A 17,431-nucleotide genomic window follows, 5' to 3' on the forward strand; every position below is an offset into this window, starting at 1 on the left:
TCCTAACCAAGGACCTGTGGCCTCCCTCCTCCCAGGTTGGAAGGTCAGTCCCGGAAGGCTCTGGAAGGTGTCCTGGGACTCACCCACCAGGCAGCATTTTCATCAGAGGTTCTCAAAAGGACACTTATCTGGGTCACACGGGTGGCCATGGTCACCCTCAATAAGAAAGGGGAGATGGGTGTGAGGGAGAGATACCCCTGCTGCCAGTAGAGCCATGCCATCCCCTGGGAGGGTCTGAGCAACTCTCCCACCAAGTTTGTGGATTTGTAGATTTCACCATGTAGCTAAGTCAGTGTTTGCTTTTTCAGTTTTGAAGGAGTGTTACTGGATATACACAATTTCATGATTGTTTTACCAGCAGAGTCGATTCTTATTATTCTCGGATTCTGTATCTGCAAATCCATCTACTTGTTAAAATGTATTTGTATCCCCCAAATCAATGGCACTTTTGGGGTCACTTGTAAATATGCATGGGGTGGGGAAAATTCCAACACACTCCTTCCCACTGAGGTCAATTCAGCTGTCACTGTAAATATACGTTCTGTTCAAGTTCTATTCAATAGCACATTTTCCCCATTTTTGGTGTGTGTGTGTGTGTGTGTTTGTGATTTCACTGTTTAAAATGGCCCTCAAGCCAGGCTTGGTGGTGCACATCTGTACTCCCAGCTACTCAGGAAAAGCTACTCAGGAGAATCGCTTGAGCCCAGGAGGTCAAGACTGCAGCTACGATCACGCCACTGCACTCCAGCCTGAGCAACAGAAGGAAAGAAATAATCTCTACAAAAAAATAATAATTTTTTAAAAGGCCCCCAGCGGAGGCTGGGCACAGTGAGTCACCCCTGTAATCCCAGCACTTTGGGAGGCTGAGGCAGGCAGATCACCTGAGGTTGGGAGTTCGAGACCAGCCTGACCAACATAGAGAAACCCCGTCTCTACTAAAAATACAAAATTACCCGGACGTGGTGGCGGGTGCCTGTAATCCCAGCTACTGGGGAGGCTGAGGCAGGAGAATCGCTTGAACCCGGGAGGTGGAGCTTGCAGTGAGCCGAGATCACGCCACTGCACTCCAGCCTGGGCAACAAGAGCAAAACTCTATAAAGAAATTACCTATGCCGGGAGGGGTGGCTTTGCTTGTAATCCCAGCACTTTGGGAGGCTAAGGTGGACAGATCACTTGAGGCCAAGAGTTCAAGATCAGCTTGGCCAACATGGTGAAACTCCATCTCTATTAAAATACAAAAATCAGCTGGTGCTCACCTGTAACCCCAGCTACTCGGGAGGCTGAGGCACAAAAATCGCTTGAACTGGGGAGGCGGAGGTTGCAGTGAGCCGAGACTGCACCACTGCACTCCAGCCTGGGTGAGAGAGTGAGACAAAGAAAGAAAGAAAAGAAAGAGAGAGAGAGAGGGAGAGAGGGAGAGAGGGAGAGAGGGAGAGACGGAGAGAGGGAGAGAGGAAGGGAGGAAGGGAGGAAGGGAGGAAGACCTGAGACTGGGTAGTTTATAAAGGAAAGAGGTTTAATTGACTCACAGTTCCGCGTGGCTGGAGAGGCCTCAGGAAACTTACAATCATGGTGGAAGTGGAAGCAGACACCTTCCTCACAAAGCACAGGAGAGAAAGCAGAGAGTGAAGGCGGAAGAGCCCCTTATAAAACCATCGGATCTCGTGAGAACTCACTCACTATCACGAGAACAGCCTGAGGAAACTGCCCCCATGATCCAATCACCTCGCTCCCTCCACACTTGGAGATTACAGATCCCTCCCTCAACATGTAGGGATTGCAATTTGAGATGAGATTTGGATGGGGACACAGAGTCAAACCATATCAAACGTAAACCATTAAATAAAAATAGAATTTGTTCAGTTCTTTTTTTTTTTTTTTTTTTTGAGATGGTGTCTCACTCTATCTTCTAGGGTGGAGAGCAGGGTTGCGATCATGGCTTATCGCAACCTCAACCTCCCTGAGCTCAAGCCATCCTCCCATGTCAGCCTCCCAAGTACCTGAAACTACAGACACATGCCACCATGCCCAGCTAATTTTTTCTGTATTTTGTAGAGACGGCATTTTGCCATGTTGTCCAGGCTGGTCATGAACTCCTGGAGTCCAGTGATCAGCCTGCAATGGCCTCCCAAAGTGCTGGGATTACAGGCCTGAGCCACCGCACCCAGCCAGAATCTATTCAGTTCTTCAGTGAAGGAGAATAAAAGTTGGAGAGGGAAATGAGAATACAGGAGGAAGAAAGAAAGCAAAAGTCAGGGAAGAAGCAAAAAATAAAAACATACAAACAAAAACCCCAAAGAGAAAATACATTATCAAAAGCACAAAATAAGATGTTAAAAATAAGTCTAAATATAATAGTAATCCAACACATATTAATAGGTTAAACTCATTTATTAATTATCAGGTCGAATTAGAAAGAAAAATGTAGTAATGTGGCATTTTTAAGAGCTACACCTAAAAAGGAAATAATACAGGAGGGTGGAAAATGAAAGGTTAGAAAACTAGACCCCAGATATATTCTCCTAATGATAGCAGGAGTGGGTTATCAAAACAAGGTAAGAGAATCCGACCTGGCGTGGTGGCTCACGCCTGTAATCCCAGCACTTTGGGAGGCCGAGGCGGGTGGATCACCTGAGGTCAGGAGTTCCAGACCAGCCTGGCCAACATGGCGAAACCCTGTCTCTACTAAACATACACACACAAAAAAATTAGCCGGGTGTGGTAGTGGGTGCCCGTAATCCCAGCTACTCAGGAGGCTGGGGCAGGAGAATCGCTTGAACCCAGGAGGCAGAGTTTGCAGTGAGCTGAGATTGCGCCACTGCACTCCAGCCTGGGCAACAGAGTGAGACTCAGTCTCAAAACAAAACAAAAAACAAGATAAGAGAATTCAAGCTAGAAAGTGTTGGTGGGGAAAGACGTATACACCATAAAGCGACACACAGAGGAACAAGGCCCAGAGATGACAGCTGATTCTCCTATTTGAGGTGCTGCTTTGCTGTGAATACTGAATTAGCTAGCACTGAGCCACTGCTGCTCAGGGAGATTCAGGGTCTGGTTCCTGTGACCCTCTGGTCACAACATTTTAATCAGCCGATCAGTCTATTTCCTTATTGTATGTGTGTTTCTCTTTAAAGATACCTCATTTTCTGAAACAATGTGGAGAATTAAAATAAAATACAATCAAATAAAGACACCTCATGTCATAGATAATGTTGATCCATTCACATTAAACTCACGGCCAACAGCACTGTCACTCACGCCTGAATGAAGCCTCTCTAACACACGTTTTCTACGTTAAGACTCATCCCGGGCCCTTGTGCTTGAGAATGCTAGTCAGCACTTCAGCAAAATGGTTCGGGGCCTTTTTTTTTTTTTTTTAGATGGATTCTTGCTCTTGTTGCCCAGGCTGGAGTGCAATGGTACGATGTTGGCTCACTGCAACCTCCACCTCCCGGGTTCAAGGGATTCTCCTGCCTCAGCCTCCCGAACAGACTAATACCGTGTTAACCTGGGGAAAATGAAGTTAAAAAAAAAAAAACTGGAAAAAAGTATTTTGATATGCTTGAAGAAGAAAATCCAGTTTGCAAACACCACAGTGATAACTATTTCAGTCAAGAATGGTCATTGGACTCTAGCATTAGTATGTGAAAGTGTAGGGGAAAAAAGAATATTTACATAGTTTCAAAGAAATGCCCCACAGAGACTTAGTAATAACAGAGGGAAGAAATGGTAACTTTACCGTGGAGAACACTGGCTTACCTAAGTTTTGGAAGTGTCTTGTGATATCATGCAGCTAAAATGACACATCACTTCTGTAGTATTCTTGCTAATAATAATAATAAAACTGAAATTTAATCACAAGGAACCATCGAACAAACCCAAATTGGAGACATCCTATGAAGTGACTGACCAGCACTTGGAAGTGTCAAGTCATGGAAGAGAAGAAAGACTGAGGCCGTTCAACTTATTTTTTGTTTGTTTGTTTGTTTGTTTGTTTTTTGAGACGGAGTCTCGCTCTGTGGCCCAGGCTGGAGTGCAGTGGCATGATTTCAGCTCACTGCAACCTCCACCTCCCAGGTTCAAGTGATTCTCGTGCCTCAGCCTCTTGAGTAGCTGGGACTACAGGTGCACACCACCATGCCCAGCTAATTTTTTGTATTTTTCGTAGAGATGCGGGTCTCACTATGTTGGCCAGGCTGGTCTCGAACTCCTGACCTCAGGTGATCCACCTGCCTCGGCCTCCCAAAGTGCTGGGATTATAGGTGTGAGCCACCATGCCCGGCCTTTTTTTTTTTTTTTTTTTCACTCTGTCATCCAGGCTGGAGTGCAGTGGCTCACTGTAGCCTCAGTCTCCAAGGCTCAGGCAGTCCTCCCACCTCAGCCTCCCGGGTAGCTGGGACCACAGTTGAATGGCACTACGCTCAGCTAATTTTTTTTTTTTTTTGCATTATTTGTAAAGACAGGGTCTCACCATGTTGCTCAGGCTGGTCTCAAACTCCTGGACTCAAGGAATCTGCCCGCCTTGGCTTCCCAACACGCCCAGGCACTCTTCAGCTCTTAAAAGTAGGTACCATGAGGCAGGGCACAGTGGCTCACGCCTGTAATCCCAGCACTTTGGGAGGCCGAGGCGGGTGAATCACGAGGCCAGGAGATCGAGACCATCCTGGCCAACATGGTGAAACCCCGTCTCTACTAAAAATATAAAAATTAGCTGGCGTGGTGGCACACCCTGTAGTCCCAGCTACTCAGGAGGCTGAGGCAGGAGAATCTCTTAAACCCAGGAGGCGGAGGTTGCAGTGAGCCGAGATCGCACCCCTGCACTCCAGCCTGGCGACAGAGTGAAACTCTGTCTCAAAAAAAAAAAAAAAAAAAAGTAGGTACCCTGGCCTCTGCCTCTTGGCATCACTGGCAGGACTTTGCTATAGGGCACAATTGATCCCAAGAAGGAAGCTACAAACTACCAGCCAGGAGGGCAGGATGGAGGCAGTGAGGGCGCAGCATCAGCCACACACTCCCTCATCTGAATTTGCGGTGGAAAAGAAGCCCACAGATATGGCCTATGTAAATCCAGCAAGTACACATTCAGAAGCAGGCAGCCCAGAGAGCTGAGCACACTTCTTAGGAGGTGTTCTGCATGAGTGCACTTCAAGCAAAAAAACATGAAGGCCAGGAATTTCACATGCACAAAAACAGATGTTGATGCAATACCCATTGTTTAAAAGGACTAAATCAGGAAAGGCACTATTATCAAGGGAGGAAAATATCCATGCTGTGGAAAGTTTGACTCAGGAAAATTCAGTGATGCAGGAGGGGTGGAAAGTCTGAGCCTCTCTGGGAGCACTTACAAGTTGAAAGGAGAGAAGTCTGTGCAACAGGTCCCTGGGCGTGAACAATCCTTCTTTTTTTATTTTTCTTTGAGACGGAATTTTGATCTTGTCGCCCAGGCTGGGGTGCAATGGCGCGATCTTGTCTCACTGCAACCTCCGCCTCCCGGGTTCGAGCGATTTTCCTGCCTCAGCTTCCTGAGTAACTGGGATTACAGGTGCCCATCACCACATCCAGCTAATTTTTTGTATTTTTAGTAGAGGGGGGGTTTCACCATGTCGGTCAGGCTAGTCTCAAACTCCCGACCTCAGGTGATCCACACCCACATCGGCCTCCAAAAGTGCTGGGATTACAGGTGTGAGCCACCACGCCTGGCCAACGATCCTTCTTCTTTTACACTTGCTTGATTTGAGTTTACCGAGGAGTCAGTCATGTAGTAGTCATATTCTCTGCTTGCTGCTTTTGGAAACATCCGTCATTTATTATGACAAACTAATTTTGAAGAATAATGACCCTTGAAAAAAGACAGGGTGCAGTGGCTCACTCCTGTAATCCCAGCACTTTGGGAGGCCAAGGTAGGAGGATCGCTTGAGCCCTGGAGTTTGAGACCAGCCTGGGCAATAGAGTGAGAGCCTATCTCTACAAAAATTACAAAAATGGCCAGGCATGGTGGCTCATGCCTGTAATTCCAGTACTTTGGGAGGCCGAGGTGGGTGGATCACCTCATGTCAGGAGTTCAAGACCAGCCTGGCCAACATGGTGAAATCCCGTCTCTACTAAACATACAAAAATTAGCTGGGCATGGTAGCAGGTGCCTGTAATCCCAACTACTTGGGAGGCTGAGGCAGGAGAATCGCTCGAACCTGAGAGGTGGAGGTTGCAGTGAGCCGAGATTGTGCCACTGCACTCTAGCCTGGGCAACAAGAATGAAACTCCATCTCAAAAAAAAAAAAATTACAAAAATTAGGCAGCCATGGTGATGCACGCCTGTAGTCCCAACTACTCAGGAAACTGAGGTGGGAGGATCCCTTGAGCCTGGGAGGTAGGGAGGTTGCAGTGATCTGAGATTGCACCACAGCACTCCAGCCTGGGCCACAGAGCCAGACCCTGTCTCAAGAAAACAAAGGTAGTGGGGAGATCTTGAGATGACAGCATTCTGGATTTAGGGTAGGCCCTAAATGCAGTGACAAGATGTCCTTATAAGAAGAGTGACACAGGAAGATGGGACACACAGAAGGGAGAAGGTCATGTGAGGATGGAGGTGGAGACTGAGTGATATGGCCCAAGCCACAGAAGGGCCACTGAAGTCAGAGTTGGGAAGGATTCTCCCCTTGAGCCTTCAGAGTTAGGAGAGAATAGATTCCTGAGGTTTTAAGCCACTTTTTCTTTATGGTCTTTTGTTCCAGCGGCCTCAGGGAGTGAAGGTACCAGCCATCCTGGGTTGCCCAGGACACTGCACTTTCAGTGCTAAAACCGAGAAAGTAATGGGAGAAGCCAGACAAGTGGGTCCCTGGTGGATGCCCGGCCTTAGACTTGCAATTGGCATCCGGTGCGTGAAGAAGCGGACACTGAGGGTCTCTCTGCAGCTGGCTGCCTGTGCCACCAGTGGTGATGTTGGCATTGGTGGCAGAGCCCACATCTGGCTGTGGGGGACGCAGCCTTTAGGGCCTGGTGTGCGGGTAGCAGGGGCTCTGTGGGCATGCCACCCACACCTAACCTGGGCTGTGAACTTGAGCTTTGCCATCCCTGGGAATCGCCACACCTGCACCCCCATCAGCCTGGCCCACTGCCCAGCAGCTCTCTCATGAGCGCCTTCCTGCCTAAGCTGTTTGTGGAAGCTGCTTCTCTAGCAGCCAGACTGAATCAGAGGCCTCTCCCATGGCAGCAGGAGACTGTGACCTCAGGGCACAGCCTTAATGGGGTGGCAGGTGCGGGTCTTGGGCAGCAGGAATGATGCCAGGCCCATCATTGTGTATCTCAAATCACATCAGCTACACCTGCTGGGTGGGACTTTTACAGAAGAAACTGGGCTCTGGAGGTGATCATCCCGTCTGAAAGCAGAGAGCTGGCGGGGGCAGGGCGAAGGGGCACTGGAGTGGGTGAGCAGGGTCTCCTTGACCAAAGCTCTCTCCTCAAGCCTAGAATATACTGTGGTCATCCAGGATTTCTGAGAAGGAGGAGCTGGAGATTTCTGAATCCTCCTTGTCTGTTCTCCTTGTAGAGAAAGGAGAAGGAAAGAAAGCAATCCACCTACTTTTGTAGGGCGACTGTAAACTGTTACAAACAGAATGAGGCCAGTAGCATTTTATTACTGGCCTCATTCTGTTTGAATCACTTGCATGGCAGCACAAAACCAGAAAAGAAATAAAAACACAGAGCTTCCAAAGAGAGGAGGCAAACTCACTCTTTATAGACCACCTCACTGTCTACCAGGCGTCTATGCACGTGAACTGTTAGGACTGAGGCTAAAGTGATTTTTAATATTTTGCCCAAATTCCTATCTAAGGAGTCTGGGGAGTCATGCCCTACAAAGCATAACTTCTCATCAGGCCGGGCGCGGTAGCTCATGCCTGTAATCCCAGCCCTTTGGAAGGCTGAGGCGGGTGGATCACCTGAGGTCGGGAATTCAAGACCATCCTGGTCATCATGGCAAAACCCTGTCTTTACTAAAAATACAAAATTCGTTGGGCATGGTGGCACACGCCTGTAACCCCAGCTCCTTGGGAGGCTGAGGCAGGAGAATCGCTTGAACCCAGGAGGTGGAGGTTGCGGTGAGCCGAGATCAATCACGCCACTGCACTCCAGCCTGGGCAACAAGAGCCAAACTCGGCCTCAAAACAAAGAAAAAGAAAAGTTGCTTTGAAATTTGGATCAGAATGTAAGTATAATTCTTGTTACTTTGTCCCATTCTGAAAATATATTGGAAACAATACATACATATATATATATATATATATATTTGAGACAGAGTTTCGCTCTTGTTGCCCAGGCTGGAGCTCAATGGCATGATCTCGGCTTGCCACAACATCCACCTCCTGGGTTCAAGCGGTTCTCCTGCCTCAGCCTCCTGAGTAGCTGGGGTTACAGGCATGTGCCACCATGCCCGGCTAATTTTTTTCGTATTTTTAGTGGAGATGGGGTTTCTCCATGTTGGTCAGGCTGGTCTTGAACTCCTGACCTCAGGTAATCCACCCGCCTCAGCCTCCCAAAGTGCTGGGATTACAGGCATGAGCCACCGTGCCCGACCGGGTACAATTTTTTATGCCAATAAAAATCCTCCAGCCACATCTTCCCAGCAACTGCTGAGTGCCAAGACTGTCCTGGATGGTTCGTCCATCCAAAAGCTGGATCAATGGGCATTTGCTGGATAGTTCCGTTCCTCTGTCCAAATGTTTGATCAATGGGTATTTGGCTTTCTCCTAAGTTATTTATATTTTCTTTCTTTTTTTTTTTTTTTTTGAGATGAAGTCTTCCTCTGTCCCCCAGTCTGCGGTGCAATGCTGACATCTCGGCTCACTGCAACCTCCACCTCCCGGGTTCAAGTGATTCTCATGCCTCAGCCTCCCAAGTAGCTGGGATTACAGGCGTGCGCCACCACGCCTGGCTAATTTTTATAATTTTAGTAGAGATGGGGTTTCTCCATGTTGGCCAGGCTGGTCTTGAACTCCTGACCTCAGGTGATCCGCCCGCCTCGGCCTCCCAAAGTGCTGGGATTACAGGCGTGAGCCACCGTGCCTGGCCTCTCCTAAATTTTCAAAGCTAAACAGCAAACATCCTCATGACTAAATATTAGGTTCAGTTTTATTGACTTCTTTAGGGCACATTCCCAGCCTGGCCACTGCTGGGCCAAGAGGCTGCAGGTTTTGAAGTCACAGAGGATGCCCTCCGTGCACCCACCCTCACAGCAGACGGAACACGGCAGCAGGAGTCCAGGCCATTGGGGAAGGCTGTAAGTGTCACCTGGTCACACTTCATACACTTTCCTTGGGTGTAGGAGTTCACACAGGGTTCACCAACACACTCACCTGGGCAAGAGGCTGGGCAGAGGTCAGATCCTGCACCGGGGCACTCTGGCGTCCTGGGCTGCACTGTCTACCCATCCAGGCTCAGGAGGCTCACACCTGGAATGAGAAAATAGAAATACTTATGTACTGGAGTTTAGGATCAAAATAATCTCTGGGTTGTTACAATTTCCTATAAATGATTGACAGACTGCTTCGGTGGCCTCCAAGGGCTCCGGCTATCTGTGTTGGGTTTGCTTCTCCAAACAGCTGTACTGTGAGCCATGATAGGAATCCCAGGCTCCCTCTGACCTCAGAAACTGAGGCTACTGAGGGTGAGCTTGTGGTCAGTAGGAGGACAACTCTTCCGCCTCCCCAGACAGGGCTCACCGCCCAACTGCCCGTGTTGCAAATGAGAGCAGGTGAGTGCTCCATGGGATCAGAGGCCCTGCTGTCTCCATGTGAATCATTATACTGGTTTCCAGCGAAGGACCTGAGACCTGGCAGAAAAGGATGGATGCTCCATTTGACATCCTGTTAAATCAAGTTTGGCCTAAAGCTGCCTCCTTCCGTATTTTAAGTTCAGCCTAATGGTTTCTCTGTCCATCACGAACTAAAACCTAAATGGAGTTGTAAACAGAGTGTAGTCGACTCTTGTCCAGTCACTGAGTTTTGGCCAATCAGAGGTGGCCAGCTGCTCAAACTGTGTTCACATAAGGCAAACGCCAAGTTGTAGCCAATCCAGCTGTCTCTGTACCTCACTTCCATTTTCCGTACGTCGCCTTCCTTTCTTTTTCTGTCCGTAAATCTGCTTCCGCCACGCGGCTGTGCTGGAATCTCTGAGCTTGCTCTGGCTTGGGAGGCTGCCCCATTCCCAGTTATTTTTTGTTCAATTAAACTCTTAAATTGAGGCCGGGCGCGGTGGCTTACGCCTGTTATCCCAGCACTTTGGGAGGCTGAGGTAGGCAGATCACCTGAGGTCAGGAGTTTGAGACCACCCTGGCCAAGATGGTGAAACCCCATCTCTACTAAAAAATACAAAAAAATTAGCCAGGCGTGGTGGTGGTTGCCTGTAATCCCAGCTACTTGGAAGGCTGAGGCAGGAGAATCACTGGAATCCGGGAGGTGGAGGTTGCAGTCAGCTGAGATCATGCCACTGCATTCCATCCCGGGCAACAAGAGCAAGACTCTGTATTAAAAATAAAATAAAATAAAAATAAATAAATTTAATTTGGCTAAGGTTTTTCTTTTAGCAATCTCATTAACATTTCACTTAGACAGTGCAGGCCCTCTCAGGCATGTTTCCTAAGGGCAGGCCAGTTCTTTCTTCTAGAATGTTTTCTCCAGTTCTCACCTCGGCAGCCCTCCACCAGCCTCCCTGATATGAGGCTCCCTACTGCAATGTTAGAAGAGTGGACCTGGCTCTAGGAACTTCCTTTCTTTTTTTTTTTTTGAGACGGAGTCTTGCTCTGTCTCCCAGGTTGGAGTGCAGTGGCGCGATCTCAGCTCTCTGCAAGCTCCGCCTCCCTGGTTCACACCATTCTTCGGCCTCAGCCTCCCAAGGGTCTCACTCTGTTGCCCAGACTGGGGTGCAGTGGCATGATCACAGCTTACTGCAGCCTCAACCTCTCTGGCTCAAGCAATCCTCCCTCAGCCTCCCAAGTAGCTGGGACTACAGGTGCCCGCCACCATGCCTGGCTAGTTTTTTGTATTTTTTTTAGTAGAGACAGGGTTTCACCGTGTTAGCCAGGATGGTCTCGATCTCCTGACCTCGTGATCCACCCGCCTCGGCCTCCCAAAGTGCTGGGATTACAGGCATGAGCTACTGCTCCCGGCATTTTTTTTTTTTGAGTTGGAGTCTTGCTCTGTTGCCCAGGCTAAAGTGCAATGGTATGATCTTGGCTCACTGCAAACCCTGCCTCCCAGGTTCAAGCGATTCTCCTGCCTCAGCCTCCTGAGTAGCTGGGATTACAGGTGCCTGCCACCACATCTGGCTAATTTTTGTAGTTTTAGTAGAGACAGGGTTTCTCCATGTTGGCCAGGCTGGTCTTGAACTTCTGACCTCAAGTGGTCCACCTGCCTCAGCCTCCCAAAGTGCTGGGCTTACAGATGTGAGCCACTGCGCCCGGCCAAGTCTACCAAACATTTAAAGAAGAACTAACCCCAGCCAGGTGCGGTGGCTAATATGTGTAATCCCAGCACCTTGGGAGGCCGAGGCAAGAGGATCACTTGAAGCCAGGAGTTCAAGACCAGCCTAGGGAACACAGGGAGACCCTGTTTCTCCACAAAATAAAAAATAATCAGCTGAGTGTTGTGACGTGCATCTGTGGTCCCAGCTACTTGGGAGGCTGAGGGAGGATTGCTTGAGCCAGAGAGGTTGAGGCTGCAGTAAGCTGTGATCATGCCACCGCACCCCAGTCTGGGCAACAGAGTGAGACCCTGTCTAAGAAAAAAAAAAAAAAAGGTCAAAGGACTTGAAAAGACATTTCTCCAAAGAAGATATAGAAATGGCTAAAAAGCAGACGAAAAGATGCTTGGCTGAATGTGATGGCTCATGCCTGTAATCCCAGCACTTTGAGAGACTGAGGCTGGAGGATCACTTGAGCCCAGTAGTTCAAGACCAGCTTGGGCAACATGGAGAGACCCCGTCTCCATTAAAAAAAGAGAGAGAAGAAAGAAAAGAAAAGAAAAGATGCTCAACATTACTAAACGTTAGGAAAATGCAAATCAAACCCACAATGATATACCATTTCAGACCCATTAGGATGACTATTATCAAAAAACAAACCAAAGCAAAACAACAGAAAAGAGGTGTTAATGAAGAAAATGGAACCCTTGTGTACCGCTGCTGGGGATGCAAAGTGGTGTCACTGTTGTGGAAAACAGTTCCTTGAAAAATTAAAAATAAGTCAACAAAAGCAGATATAGACAAATGTGATTACATCATACCAAAAAGCTTCTGCATAGCAAATGCAACAGTCATCAGACTGAACAGACAACCTGCAGAATGGGAGAAAATATTTGCAAACCATACAACTGATAAGGGGTTTATATCCAGAGTGTACAACAACTCAATAGCAAGAAACCAACCTAATTAAAAAATAGGCAAAGGACTAAATAGACATATCTCAAAAGAAGATATGCAAGTGGCCAATAGGTATATGAAAAAATGCTCAATATCTTGATCATCAGGGAAATGCAAATTAGTACCGCAATGAGATACCACCTCACACCTATCAGAATGGCTATTATCAGAAAGACCAAAGATAACAACTGTTGGTGAGGCTGTGGATAAAAGGGAACCCTTGCTCATTCTTGGTGGGAGTGCAAATTATTGCAGCCATTATGTAAAACAGTACAGAGGTTCCTAAAAAAATTAAAAATAGAACTACTGTATAATCCAGCAATCTCACTGCTAGGTAGATGCTTCAAACAAGTGAAGTTAGTATATCAAAGAAATATCTTCACTTCCTTGTTCATTGAAGCACTAGTCACAACAGCCAAGATAGAGAATTAACCTGCGTCCATCAACAGATAAATAGATAAAGAAAATGTGCCATGTATACACAATGAAATACTATGCAGCAAGGAAAAACAAGGAAATCCTGTCATTTGTAACAACATGGATAAGCCTGGAGGACATTATGTTAGGTGAAATGAGCCAGCCCAGAAAGCCAAATGCTGCATGAGCTCACTCGCATGCAAAGTCTAAAAAAGTTGAACCCACAGAAGTGGAGAGTAAAATGGTGGTTACCAGGAGCTGGAGAGGTGGTGAGGAGGTGGCTGGGGAAATGTTGGTCAAAGGTTCCAAAATTTCCGTTAGACAGGAGGAGTAACTTCCACGTATAACATGGTGACTACCGTTAACAACAATGTATTGACAGGGCGTGGTGGCTCACGCCAGCATTTGGGGAGGCTGAGGTGGGCGGATCACCTGAGGTCAGGAGTTCAAGACCAGCCTGGCTAACACGGTGAAACCCCATCTCGACTAAATAGACAAAATTAGCTGGACGTGGTGGCGGGCGCCTGTAATCCCAGCTACTCAGGAGGCTGAGGCAGGAGAATCGCTTGAACCCGGGAGGCAGAGGCTGCGGTGAGCCACGATCGCACCACTGCACTCCAGCCTGGGTGACAGAGTCAGACTCCCTCTCAAACAAATAAAAAAAACCACAAAAGACCAACTATATATTATATTCTTGAAAAATGCTGACAGAGTAGATTTTAAGTCTTCTTATCAGGAGAACAAGTATGTGAGGTGTGCTTATGTCACTTAGCTTGATTTTGCCTTTCCACAATTTATACATATTGTAGAAGATCATGGTGTACATTACAACATATTCAACTTTATATGTCACTTTTTTCTTTTTCTTTTTCTTTTTTTTTTTTTTTTTTGAGACGGAGTTTCACTCTTGTTGCCCAGCTGGAATACAATGGCACGATCTCGGCTCACCACAACCTCCGCCTCCTGGGTTCAAGTGATTCTCCTGAGCCACTGTGCCTGGCCCTGTCAGTTTTAAAGAATAAAGTAAAATAAATAAAAATAGAATTACTGTATGATTCAGAGATTCTACTTTTGGGTATACTAGACAGGAGGAGTAACTTCCATGTATAACATGGTGACTACCGTTAACAACAATATATTGACCGGGTGTGGTGGCTCATGCCTGTAATCCTAGCATTTGGGGAGGCAGAGGTGGGCGGATCACCTGAGGTCAGGAGTTCAAGACCAGCCTGGCCAACATGGTGAAACCCCGTCTAGACTAAAAAGACAAAATTAGCTGGGTGTGGTGGCAGGTGAGAAGAGAAAAGGGGGCTCCTCGCTGACCTCCCCTTCCCCAGCGTCTCCAGGGCAAGCACCACCTCTAGCCTTGTTCTCCCCCCGAAGATGTCTTGGGGGTCCCTTCCAGCTCTGGTGCCCAGCCAGCAGCCCCCACGTCTGTCCCTCCTCCTTTTGGGTATTTTATACCCAAAAGACATGAAAACAGGTGCTCAAACAGATAGTTATATACCCACATCCACAGCAGCATTATTTTTTTATTTATTATTCATTGTTTTCATTGCTGTTGTTCTTTTTTTAATTTTTATTTTAGGTTTGGGGATACATGTGCAGGTTTGTTATATAGGTAAACTCGTGTCATGGGGTTTGTTGTACAGGTTATTTTATCACCCAGTACCCAAGAGTTATTTTTTCCGATCCTCTCTCTCCTCCCACCCTCCACTCTCAAGTAGGCCCCAGTGTGTGTTGTTCCCCTCTCTGCGTTCATGTGTTCTCATTATTTAGCTCCTGCTTATAAGTGAGAACATGTGGTATTTGGTTTTCTGTTCCTACATTAGTTTGCTACATGTTCCTACAAAGGACATGATCTCCTTCTTTTTTATGGCTGCATAGTATTCCGTGGCATATATGTACCACGTTTTCTTTATCTGGTCTACCATTGATGGGCATTTAGGTTGATTCCATGTCTTTGCTATTGTGAACAGTGAGCAGTATTACTTATTTCTTTATTTTTTATTTTTTGAGATGGAGTTTTGCTCTGTCACCCAGGCTGGAGTGCAATGGTGCAATCTCAGCTCACTGCAACCTCCGCCCCCTGGGTTCAATCGATTCTCATGCCTCACCCTCCCGAGTACAGGTGCCCAACACCATGCCCGGCTAATTTTTGTACTTTTAGTAGAGACGGGGTTTCACCATGTTGGCCAGGCTGGTCTGAAACTCCTGACCTCAAGGCGATCCGCCTGTCTTGGCCTCTCAAAGTGCTGGGATGACAGGCGTGAGCCACCGCGCCCGGCCGCAGCATTACTTATAATAGCCAAAAGGTAGAAGGAAAAAAAACTGAGTATCCATGAACAGATGAATGGATAAACAAAATGTGGTCTATTCATACAAGAAAATACCAATTCAGCCAAAAAAAGGAAGGAAATTCTGGCACATGTAACAATGTGAATATACCTTGAAGACATCTGAAGTGTTGACTCATTGTAGTTTTGATTTGTATTTCCTTACAATTTGTCGAAGACCTAAATATAAGAGCTAAAACTGTAAAGCCACTGACCGGGCTTCGGAATTCAGCGTCCCCCAGCACGGGCCCTCCCCATCCCTTCCCCAGTACCCCTGCCCCCCGGCCTAGCCCAAGAGGTTTTCCTTGCTGCCTGGCCACTTCCTAGGGAGGGGAAGAGGTATCTTGACTTTCACCCCTGACCTGCACCCCAAGAGGGTCCAGGCTCCACCAGCCCTGCTCAGCAGAAGAGAAAAGGGGGCTCCTCGCTGGCCTCCCCTTCCCCAGCCCCTCCAGGGCAAGCACCACCTCTAGCCTTGTTCTCCCCCCAAGATGTCTTAGGGGTCCTTTCCAGTTCTGGTGCTCAGCCAGCACCCCCTGCGTCTGTCCCTCCTCCTTCCCTCATTCCCACAATATTTTCTGAGCAGATTGGGGGACAGGGGCAGGTTGGGGAAAGGCCACCATTGCTCCTGCACTCTGCTGTCCGGTCTGGGACGTGGAACAGAAGCCCAGGTGGCTTAGCCAGGCATAGCCCCTCAAATGGCATGGCTCAGGGCAGGGGAAGACTGGGGACTGAGACCAGGAAGGGGTGCCCTGCTGCAGTAGGGCAGGAGGCACAGCTCTGGACACCCCCATCATCAGCAAATATCACCACCTGCTGTTTTCTCTCCAGGGTCCACATACAAAACCCACCTGGGGAACCCTTCAATGATGGACCCAAAAACCATGTTCAGGGTTTTATTATTTTATTTGTTTGTTTTCATAATTTTATTCTACAGTTGTCTTTAAACCGAAATGACACTATTGTCTTTGTGCCGATACCTGTACTTTCTGGAGAACGAGTGTATAGGCCCCCTTGAGAGAGAGGCCCTCCATGGTATGGTTTCGGTGAGGTTGCTTGGAAGAAACTCATGTCTGGACTGATTCTTAAAGCACACTGACCAACCACGCCGCAGCTTCGGGCTCTAAGTGTAGATTAGTGTCATTACTGCCTGCTCCTCACTCTGTGTATTTGGTAATGCACATATATCCTGGTTTCTCAGGATGGTCCCCAGGTCGCCAGCCTTCTCTGCAGGTGCGTCGGCAGGTGCAGCGGGCCGTGCTTTCCTCTGTGACCTTTCTCCAGGTCTTTCCAGGAATGGAGACGCAGCATCATCACCACAGGTGGTAAGCCCCATACCTTTGCCAGCAATTCCAGCAGAAACATTGAGTGTAGTTAAGTCCTGCCTTGCAGAAATGTCTCTCTTAAGGCATGCAGACCACTTTAAGCAGCTCACTCGAATCATACTCCATAAACTTACACAAGTCTCTCCACATAAGTAGGAGCTGATTGAGAATGAGCTTCAGTGGACATAGCTCTGCGGTCAAAATCCCAGATGGACAGATTTGGAAAATATGGGGGGGCTTGGCCAGGGGTGGTGGCTCATGCCTGTAATCCCAGCACTTTGGGAGGCTGAGGCTGGTGGATCATGAGGTCAGGAGTTCAAGACCAGCCTGGCCAACATGGTGAAACCCCGTCTCTACTAAAAATACAAAAATTAGCTGGGCATGGTGGCGCGTGCCTGTAATCCCAGCTACTCGGGAGGCTGAGGCATGAGAACCGCTTGAATCTGGGAGGTGGAGGGTGCAGGGAGCTGAGATTGTGCCACTGCACTCTAGCCTGGGCAACAGAGTGACTCTGTCTCAAAAAAAAAAAAGAAAAGAAAAAGAAAAAGAAAAGAAAATATGGTGGCACCTGTCATCACAGCCAGCAACAAGCACCATAAGGTCTCCAGCCAGCCTGTTATGCTGGTTTCTGTCTTGCTCCCAATTAGAGATACAACAGGACACAGAGGAAGAGTGTCAAACACACATCTGGAATCAAACGCTCCTGGCGCATGAAATCCATCACAGTCTGGCATCTGCAGTAAGCCCTGCAGCTGAGATACCAACACGGTTGGAGGCATGGAGGATTTTCTTCTGATGAGCTGGAAGCTCTCACTGCGCCCTCTTCAATATAATCAGTGCAGCCTGGGCTTTCGATTTCAGATGAGTTGATTTCCCCTGAACCTTGACAGCCTCTATGGCATATTCATTTGATGAATCCTGCCCCAGGAGCTCCAAAGAGTG

General features: G+C 47.9%; 2 annotated features.

Moving 5' to 3' along the window:
- Positions 5,058-5,258: a silencer, noted in NCBI's record as "peak1169 fragment used in MPRA reporter construct". NCBI's record gives its function as "represses an SCP1 promoter by STARR-seq MPRAs in K562 erythroleukemia cells {active_cell/tissue: K562}" and the evidence as "EXISTENCE:reporter gene assay evidence [ECO:0000049][PMID:32103011]".
- Positions 7,100-7,600: an enhancer, noted in NCBI's record as "H3K4me1 hESC enhancer chr11:3096337-3096837 (GRCh37/hg19 assembly coordinates)". NCBI's record gives its function as "activates a minimal SCP1, AML or CMV promoter by ChIP-STARR-seq in primed H9 embryonic stem cells {active_cell/tissue: H9 hESC(primed)}" and the evidence as "EXISTENCE:reporter gene assay evidence [ECO:0000049][PMID:30033119]".

The sequence above is a fragment of the Homo sapiens genome, chromosome 11, assembly GCF_000001405.40.
Source record: "Homo sapiens chromosome 11, GRCh38.p14 Primary Assembly".
Lineage (NCBI taxonomy): Eukaryota > Metazoa > Chordata > Mammalia > Primates > Hominidae > Homo > Homo sapiens.